This window comes from Homo sapiens, chromosome 8, assembly GCF_000001405.40.
Source record: "Homo sapiens chromosome 8, GRCh38.p14 Primary Assembly".
Taxonomy (NCBI): domain Eukaryota; kingdom Metazoa; phylum Chordata; class Mammalia; order Primates; family Hominidae; genus Homo; species Homo sapiens.
Window position 1 is genome coordinate 51,858,232 of NC_000008.11, and position 10,554 is coordinate 51,868,785.

Consider the following 10,554-nt stretch of genomic DNA (forward strand, 5'->3'; position numbering starts at 1 on the left):
TCACAGATACCCCGCTCTCCCTGCTTTGGCCGGGACTCCCCCAGAGTTTACTACTAAATATGTAGTACCCATAGGACCCACTGTTTATGGGGGAGCACCTGTTATCCCTATCTTGTGAGTGGAAAAGAAAAATGGCTGAGCCATAGTGTTATAGTTTTTTGTTTTTAATAAAGAACTTTTGTTAATAAGGTGGCTGTGAAGCAGTGGAGCCAAATTTGATTCACTATACTCAATAATCACAGGGAGCATGTGAGCATCCTCCTCTGGATCCAGTTCTAAGTGATTTTTATGGATGTATACCTTCCCCTCCATGACATAAAACACACACAAAACACAAACTAAAAACAGAGAGCAGGGTAAAGATAAAGCTTCCTCAGAAGCCTGGTGAATTTAAGACTTATTAGCTGTAATCATAGTTTTACAGACTGTTGTTTCTGCTTCTCCTTCTTTATCTTTCTCACCAAAGGAATATTCCTAATCAAAACGAGAACAACTATATCTTGGTCTTAACTTAGCAGGATCATACAAAGATAAATCCTGGAATAGTATCCAGGAGCCACTGCCATATATGTAACTAAAGATCCATGACTCCCTACAGCTTTGTAACAGGAGGAAACTATCTAGTGCATTGTAGATCATTTACACAATGGTCTCTTTCCCCACATTGCCCATGTCGTGATTAAGACATTCATGATACAATAAGTTTGACATCTGCCTACAGTGCCATCTGGCCACAGACATCTAATCTCTTGGAGCCTGGGACTAAGGTAATGAGTCTAAGAAGGCAACCTCACTGCTGGCAAGATAGCAAATTATGATGCATACCTCCCCCATCCCAAGTTTGGCTAGATTGACCTCCCTCAGCACGAGCCAGTTGGCACATACTAGAGAAGGGTAAGACAGAATAAACAGGCACTTTCAGGCTGGCCAAACATGGTATAAGGCTTGGACTCCAGCCCAGAGTTGCCAGAGCTGGTTAAGAAATGTTCAAGGACAGCAATTCCCCCCTCTTTTTTTTTTTAAAGAAGCAACTCTCCCTACTCTCACCTCTAGATTTTGCAGACTGTCTCAAACCCTAGAGATTCCTTTTTCAAAGAAACCGGTGATAGAAGTGACAGATATCTGGAAGTTCCAACCTGTTAAGAAATTCCTGTCTCAGGACAGGGAGGAGCGCCAAATTTAAATGTAAGCTTCTAGATTTCTCTTTATCGATGAAAATTAATAATTTCCTATCACTTTTGAACAGTTCTTATACATTAAGAACTAACCCAGTTGCGGAATGAAAGGCTTCCATCCCCACACTCAAATGAAACAGATGGGAGGTCCCATGACTAATAGAGTAAGGAATTAGCTAGTGTGTAGGGAGGAAATTTCAGACCTGACTATACCTTAAAAGTCATAATGTGACCACATAATTTATTGTCCAAACTCAGACACTTCAAGGAATGAAAGGACATTATTAATACTGACACTAGGATAACAGAGATAAAGTAGGACTGTCCCAACACACTGGAACATAGAGTCACCCTACTAGAGGATATGTCATTCTCTATTTAAAATTCTTCAATGATTCCCCATCACTTTAGAATGAATTTTACACCACATTCTCATCCTTATTAACTTAGGGATATACCTCAACTATAGTACCTATCAGACTAGATGAAGGCTGTTGATTTTGTCTTCTCACACCCCACCCCCCTAAATAATGCTCTATTTTAACGTATGCCACACAGTAGCGGCCAGTGAATATGGCAGCTGAACTAAATGGCTTGGTAAACTTCATGGTTGGTCATCCTCCATCCAACATAATGTCTTATAGCAGATTTTCCTCCACCCATGTGTCTTCCACCTATATTCCATGTTATCCAGTTGTCACTTCCTAGATACGTGACTTTCAGGCAAGTTATTTAACCTCCCAGTGCCTTCATTTACTTGCCCATATAAAAGGATTAATAATTGTCTGTACTTCAAAGGAGTATTAGGAACACTGAATGAGTTAATACACACATACTGCTTTAAACAATACCTAGCATTTAACACCCAGTAAGCTCTTTGAGGGCAGAAATCTTAGTCCCTTTTGATCATTGGCATATGCACATGCCAGGAACAATGCTTGGCAGAGCAAACACTCATTAAATATGCTGAAAGCTTAATGAACATATACTTCTTTCTTCTCTATTTTTCTCCAATCTCTTGCTTTACCCTAACAGTGCCACATCTTATATATCCCACATTCTCCTGTCTCTCTTAACAAAAACCTGGCACAATGCTCTTAGATAACCATCAAACTTTATATGCCAGAAGACAGAACACTCTATCTGAAATAGATTAAATATTACTCCTGAGTTTCCTGCCCACCAGCGCTTGACTTTAAGTACAGACAATGACTAACAGAGAACAGTTAGTTTCCAGAGCTACTGTAGGTTGAGGTAAGGACTCGGAATGAAAAAAGATTACTACTACTTTGTGTTTTCACATCTAAGTAAGGAAGATACCTACACTGTGTATACACATTCAAACATACTGTACACAAAGTTACAACTCCTATAAATCATAAACCATAATACAAAATGGCTTATTTTTTAAAATAGAATTTTACAAAAATAAAATTACCTAAAATTAAGCCCACCATTGTACTTAAATATCCGGTTCCACTTCCCAGGTTAAGAAAAGACAATCCTGGTTGAAGTTTCAATGCTTCCATAACTTCAGAATAAATGCAAGGTGCTGACAAGTGGATGTTTCCATGCTTCCAGGCTAAGTCTTTGTAAGCATTGTCTCTGTAGCCTTCCAAATAGTAATCTCCACGATCAATCGCTCTGAAGGCTTGCTCCACTCTTTCAGTACGAATATACTGAGCTTCTTTTAAATTATCAATTAAGTCATCATTATCTTCCCCAGCACTCACAGCTCCTCCCATGATAGTATTCAAATCAAATCATAAATTTAAAAGTGAAATAAAATTAGTAGAAATGGCTTCCAATATTGCACTTGATTTCCAAAAATAAATTAATCCTGGAAGGGAAGAACAAAAATAAACAGGTTTAAATTAATGCTCAAAAGCAAAATAACTTGTTTATTAAATGTATGTCATTATAATTAACTACCATTTCTCATGGAAATATTCTGCTCCAGCATAGTGTTAAACTCCTTCTTAACTATATTATTTTATTTAATTCATATAGTAACCACAAAAGGTAACTTATATGATCTCATCTGTACAGATGGGAAAACTGGAACACAAAGAAGTCAAGTAAGTCACCTAGTACCGTGAAGCCCATTATGGTGGCCACTAGTCACACATGGCTACCTAGATCTAAATTAATAAAAATTAAATACAATTTAAAATTCCATTAGTCAACCTACCTGTATTTTAAGTGTTTAATAGCTACTTGTAGCTAGTGGCTACCATACTGGACAGTGCTGCTCTGCAAAGTGACACTGTCAAGACTTGGTCTTAGGTCTTTAGAGTCAGAAACCATGTTTTTTTTTTAATTTTTTTTTTTTTAAGATAAGGTCTCACTCTGTCACCCAGGCTGGAGTACAGTGGTATGATCTTGGCTCATCCCCTCCTGGGCTCAAGTAATCCTCCCACCTCAGCCTCCCAAGCAGCTAGGATTACAGGTGCATGCCACCACGCTCAGCTAATTTTTTTATTTTTTTGTAGAGACAGGGTTTCACCATGTTGCCCAAACTAGTCTCAAACTCCTGAGCTCAAGAGATCCATCCGCCCGGGCCGCACAAAGTGCTGGGATAACAGGCGTAAGCCACGTGCCCGACCTCCATGCTCTTAATCACTGAGCCACACTGGCTTCTTTATAGTACAGTATAGTATAGTATAGTACAGTATAGTATAGATTAATTTTAAAAATTAGTTGATTTTAAATTTCTGAACTTAAAAACCACAATTCAAAAATGCACTACATAAATTTACAATGTTAACACACAGAATAACATATTACTCGAAACACTGAACATAAAATGCAAAATAAACAAACCCCACACTCATGTTTATTAATGCGCTTGTGTGCTGATTGTTTTGTTTAGTAAACCTTGTTGTGACAGAAACCACAAATTTTATTAATAACCTCAATATTCCAAGCACTAGAACATGTTTTATACACATACACACACACACACACTCACACACACATACACTGAACTTCTTTAACAGATTAAACTCAGCATCAGAATGCAAATGTAAGTGCAATTTGAGAAAACTAAAAAAATTTCAAAACATAATACTGAATATACAATTTAAGCTTTATTCAACTATAGCTAGTAAGTTAATGTATCAATTCCTGAATTAATAAATCAGTAGAGGAGAAAGTGTGAAATGAAATACCCATGGCCAGTAACAAGAGTTATGACAGTTAACTCTGGCAAGGCTGTACTCCAACTCCTGACCATAGAGAAGTATACCAATTAGGGTCTCAAGTATCCCCAGGGTCCTCAGGCCCCTGGCACCACGAGGGCAGCTCCCCTAACACAGCCTATCATATTGTCTTTGTCTGTGTCCACTTTGTCCTTTCCTACAATTGCCTTAAGAACTTTTGGAGTAGAGGACATACTGTGAATTCACATTTAATTCATTCAAACTCACTTATAAAAAGTTGCCTGGCTCTAGCACCTTCAGTCCTCAAAAATATATAAGTACAAGGGCTTACAGCACCCTTCTCCTCAATGAATATACTTTGTAGAATGCAGTGCAATAGGAGATGCCAATTCACTATTCCTTCAACAGGTCTTAGCTGTGGCATCTCAACTTGCTGAGTCCAATTGTAGCATTTCAATACTTTTTTTTTTTTTAATAACATGGCCTTTAGCACAAGTCAACTTTTACATCTGGCACTCAGAGTGAATCTCTTCCTAAGGTGAAAGAAAAAATGGTTATATTACACTAGGAGATAGTCTCTGTCAGTATCCAGTGTGGCATTTGCCTAAGGATTTCATAAGAATAATTCTGACTACAAAGATATTTGGCAAATTGCTGTACCGTAAATGCCACAATTTACTAAAAAATTATTCCCTTTGAGTGGGCTCTAGGGCTTAAGAAGAATGATCTGACCCTCCTTAGGTCCTTCTGAATTCCATTCAATTCAAAATTATCATAGCAAAACAATCAATCAAATATGGTCTTTACCACATAGCTCACATTTTTGGTGAGAAAAAGGCAAGAAGAAGAATGAAATAAATAAGAACTACCACCATTTACTGACAAACACTGTACTGAGTGTATTTGTAGCTCATTAAAAATTACTATAACCCAGGCCAGGTGCAGTGGCTCATGCCTGTAATGCCAGCACTTTGGGAAGTCAAAGTGGGTGGGTGGATCACCTGAGGCCAGGAGTTCAAGACCAGCCTGGCCAGCATGGCGAAATCCTGTCTCTATTAAAAATACAAAGATTAGCCAGATGCGGTGGCTCACGCCTGTAATCCCAACACTTTGGGAGGTCGAGGCGGGCAGATCACTTGAAGTCAGGAGCTCAAGACCAGCTTGGCCAACATGGTGAAACCCTGTCTCTACTAAAAATACAAAAAAAAATTTAGCTGGGTGTGGTGGCACACAGCTGTAGTCCCAGCTACTCGGGAAGCTGAGCCAGGAGAACTGCTTGAACTTGGGAGGCAGAGATTGCAGTGAGCTGAGTTTGCACCACTGCACTCCAGTCTGGGCGACAGTGAGATTCCCTCTCAAAAAAAAAAAAAAAAATTATCCAATCAAATGACTGCATGGATTTTTAAAAACAATGACTGAATGGATTAGAAAGGCAAGACCCAACAATATGCCGCCTATGAAAAAGACTCACTTTAGCCTTAGGACACACACAGACTGAGAATAAAGTGATGAAAAATGATAACCAAAAGAGAGCACGGATGACTATACTTCCATCAGACAAAATAGACTTTAGGTCAAAAACTGCAAAAAGAGACAAAGAAGCAAAGAAGGCCATTATTTTATGTCCTGTTTAAGAGAACAGAACAATTTTAAATATATATGCAGTCAATATTGGAGCACCTAAATATATAAAGCAAATACTAATAGATCTGAAGGATGAGATCGACTGAAATACAATAATGGCAGAGGAATTCAAACTCCACGTTCAACAATGGACATATCATCCAGACAGAAACAGTGGACTTGAACAACGCTTTAGACCAAATGGACCTAAAAGACATATAGAACATTCTATCCAACAGCAACTGAAATGAGTATTCCCCAGGATATATTATATGTTTGTCTACAAAATAAGTCTCTATGAATTTAAGACTGAAATGATACCAAATATCTTTTCTACTCGTAATGGAATGAAACCAGAAACCAGTAACAGGAGGACTTTTGGGACGTTCACAAACACACAGAAATAAACAATATGCTCCTGAAAAACCAATTGGTCAAAGAAATTTAAAAAGAAAATAAAGATATCTTGAGACAAATGAAAATGGAAACATAACATACCATAACTTATGAGATGCATCAAAAGCAGTTCTAAAAGGGAAGTTTACAGCAATAAATGCCTGTATCAAAAGAGAGTAAAGATTTCAAATAAATTCAAGAAACTAGAGAAAAAAGAACCAGTTAAACCCCAATTAGCAGAAAGAATGAGATAAGATTCAGAACAGAAATAGATAAAATAGAAAACAGAAAGAAAACAGAAAAGATCAGTGAAACTAAGCGTTGGTTCTTTAAAAAGATAAACAAAATCAAAAAACCTTTAGCAACTAAGAAAAAAAGAAGGCTCTAACAATAAAGTCAGAAATGAAAGAGGAGATACCACAACTCAGAAGATATCACAGAAGTACAAAGGGTCATAAGAGACTATGAACAATTATCCACCAACAAATTGGATAACCTAGAATAAATTCCTGGAAATGTACAACCTACCCAAGTTGAATCAAGAAGGAACAGAAAATCTGAACAAACCAATAACAAGCAAGAAGACTGAATCAATAATTAAGAAATCTCCCATCAAAGAAAAGCTCAGCACCAGATGCCTCAAGGTGGAATTACGCCAAACATTTAAAGAACTAATACCAATTCCTTCTCAAATCCTTCCAAAAAATCAAGTGAAGAGAATACCTACAAACTCCACTTACGAGGCCAGTATTGCTCTGATACTGAAGCTAGATAAGGACACTACAAGAAAAGAAAAGAACAGGCTAATATCCCTGATGAACATATCTGCAAAAATCCTTAACAAAATACTAGCAAACCAAATTCAACAGAACATTGAAAGGATCACTCACCACCAAGTGAGACTGATCCTTGGAATACAAGGATTGTTGAATATACACAAATCAATAATGTGATGGATGTACCATATTAACAGAATGAGGACAAAAACCCTATGATCATTTCAATAGATGCAGAAAAAGCCGTTAACAAAAATTCAATATCCTTTCATAATAAAAACTCCCAATAAATTAGACACAGAGGGAAGATACCTCAACATAATAAAGGCTATTATGAAAATCCCACAACAAACATACTCAATGATGAAAAGTTGAAAGGTTTTCCACGATCAGGAATAAGGATTTCTATTCTTAACTACTTCTATTCAACACAGAACAAAATGCTAGCTGGAACAATTAAACAAGAAAAAAAAAATAAAGGGCATCTAAATAGGAAAGCAAAAATTGAAAATACCTATGTTAACTGATAACATAATCTTATATGCAGAAAATTGTAAAGACCCACCAAAAAACTATTAGAACTGCTAAACAAATCAGTAAAGTTGCAGGGTACAAAATCAACACATAAAAGTCAGTAGCATTTCTTTACACTAACAACAAATGATCTGAAAAAATAATTAAGAAATCAATCCCATTTACAACAACATCAAAAAAAAAATACCTAAAAGTAAACTTTAACCCAGGAGGTGAAAGATTTGTATACTAAACACTATTAAATATTGAAAAAAAATGTAGAAAACACAAATAAATGGAAAGGTATTCCATATTCATGGACTCACAGAAATAATAGTTAAAATGTCTGTACTACCAACAGTGGTTTACAGATTCAACATAATCTGTATTAAAATTCCAATGACATTTTTCACAAAAATAGGAAACAATCCTAAAATTTGTGAGGAATCATACAGGCAAAAAGAAGAAAACTAGAGGCCTCACATTATCTGACTTCAAAATCTATTACAAAGCTATAGTAATCAAAGCAGCATGGTACTGACATAAAAACAGACACAATGACCAATCAAAGTAGATGGAGAGACCAGAAAGAAACTTCACATATTTATGGTCAATTAATTTTCAACAAGGATACCAAGAACACACCATTAAGAAAGCACAGTCTCTTCAATAAGTGCTGCTGGGAAAACTGGATATCCACAAGCAGAAGAATGAAATTGAATCCTTATCTCACAACATATACAAAAATCAACTCAAAACAGATTAAAGATTTAAATATAAGACCTGAAACTGTGTAACTATTAGAAGAAAACATAGGGGAAATGCTCCATTACATTAGTCTGGGCAAAGATTTCTTGGATATGATCCCAAAAGCACAGGCAACAAAAGCAAAAATGAACAAATGAGACTGTATCAAACTAGAAAGCTTCTGTACAGTAAAGCTTTACTAATTGTTTACAAGCAGTAAAGTGAAGTGATAACATATATTGAAAAAACAAAACAAAACAAAAAAACTGCAAACCATACATCCATACATCCGATAAAGGATTGCAACCCATACATCTGATAAGGGATTGCAAACCATACATCTGATAAGGGATTAAGATTCAAAATATAAAATGAACTCAACTGAATAGCAAGAAAACAAATATGCCAATCAAAAAACAAACAAAAGACCTAATAATTATCAAAAGAAGACATATAAACAGCCAACACATATGAAAAAATGGTCATCGCAGAAATGCAAATTAAAACCCAAAATGAGTTATCACTTTACACCTGTCAGAATGGCTATCATCAAAAAGACAAAAGATAACAAGTATTGGCAAGGTTGTAGAGAAAAGAGAACCCTTGTGAACTGTTGGTGGAAATGAAAATTAATACAGCTTTATGAAAAACAGTATGGCTAATCAGAAAACTAAAATCAGCATTATCTTATGATCCAGTCAGTAATCCCACTTCTGAGTCTATATCCAAAAAGATTGAAATTAGTATGTCAAAGATATATCTGCATTCCCATGTTCACTGCAGCATTATTCACAATAGCCAAGATATGTAAGCAAGCTAGGTGTCCATCATCAGAGGAATGGGTAAAGAAAATGGTGTGTGTGTGTGTGTGTGTGTGTGTGTGTGTGTGTGTGTGTGTATAGGAATTTGAGAGAAAGAAGAAAAAGATAAATATAGACTTACATTATATACATATAAAATCCATTTATATATATATAAATGGATTACTATTCAGCCTTTAAAAGAAGGGTAATTCTGTCATTTGCAATAACATGTATGAACCTGTAAGACATTACACTAAGTCATAAGACATACTAAGACATAAGACAGGCATGGAAAGACAAACACTACATGATCTCACTCATGTGGAACCTAAAATGGTTAAACTTACAAAAGTAGAGCATAGAATGATGATTACCAGAGGCTGGGGCAGGAGGGTAGATGGGGGAAAGGAGAAATGCTGGTCAAAGGGCATAAAGTTTCTGCTAGACAGGAGAAATACGCTTTAGTAATCTTTACAGAATGGTGACTATAATAAATCACAATGCACTGTGTTATCTGTGATTGCTGAAACAATTATTGCTGAAACTGTAAATTGTAGATGTTTTCACCATACAAAATGATAGCTTTGAGAGGCAAATTTTTTAACTGGCCTGATTTAATCATTCCACACTGTAAACATATATTGAAACATCACATCGCACCCCATAAATATACAATTATTCTTTGCTAAAGATTAAATAGGATTTTAAGGAAAAACCAAAACTATAAAGAGAACTGTATTACTTGGTGTGGGGGGGTGTGGGAGAATGACACAGTTTACATAGTCAAAATACTATAAACATAATTCCTTATTTAGTTTTAATACTCGTTTAACCACACTGAGTGAGAGAGAAGAGGAAAAGAGGGGCATGGGAGCTAAAACCTTATCTATGATGACAGAAAGTAAATCTGTCCAAAAGTAATGAATAAAAAGGAAAAGCAGCATCTTAGTTAGCAATGTGTACATTAAATACCCTACAAAATGGCTATATGTGTTAAGTTCCTTCTGGAATGTGAGGCTGGGGGTGAAAACAGGTGAAGCCAGGGACTGCTATGCTTTGGCATCAAGGTTTGCGGTATCTTTACAAACTGTGTTACAAGTATTATTTGAACAAAATTGGCAAGTAAAGGTAAAATTAAAGGGGTTATAGAGAGAGCACAGATGAAGTATAATAAAGCCATATGGAAAATTTCCTAAGGAATAAAAATACATTTAATAAGACAGTCTAGGGCAGAAAAATAAAGATACAGAAAGAGAAGATTATTACATAAATAATAACTTAAACCACACCAAAGAGTTTCACAGATACAGCTCTTACCACATACATTATTGCTGAATGTGGAAACTGAATTATAAATTAC

The 10,554-nt window shown here is 36.0% G+C and overlaps 1 protein-coding gene across 7 annotated transcripts in view; it reads right to left on the bottom strand.

Moving 5' to 3' along the window:
* The window catches only part of PCMTD1 (protein-L-isoaspartate (D-aspartate) O-methyltransferase domain containing 1), an 81,612-nt gene that overhangs the window by 40,657 nt on the left and 30,401 nt on the right, over nt 1–10,554 (bottom strand). For 2 of the 7 annotated variants that reach the window (NM_052937.4, NM_001363193.1), the window contains exon 2: nt 2,614–3,015. The exons of 3 other annotated variants lie outside the window; for them this stretch is intronic. In NM_052937.4, the coding sequence (NP_443169.2) occupies nt 2,614–2,920 (307 nt within the window). In that variant the 5' untranslated portion in view covers nt 2,921–3,015. Of the gene's footprint in view, nt 1–2,613; nt 3,016–6,457; nt 6,517–10,554 lie in introns of those variants that run through there. 2 more of the 7 variants (XM_047421323.1, XM_047421324.1) reach the window with 2 other exon arrangements.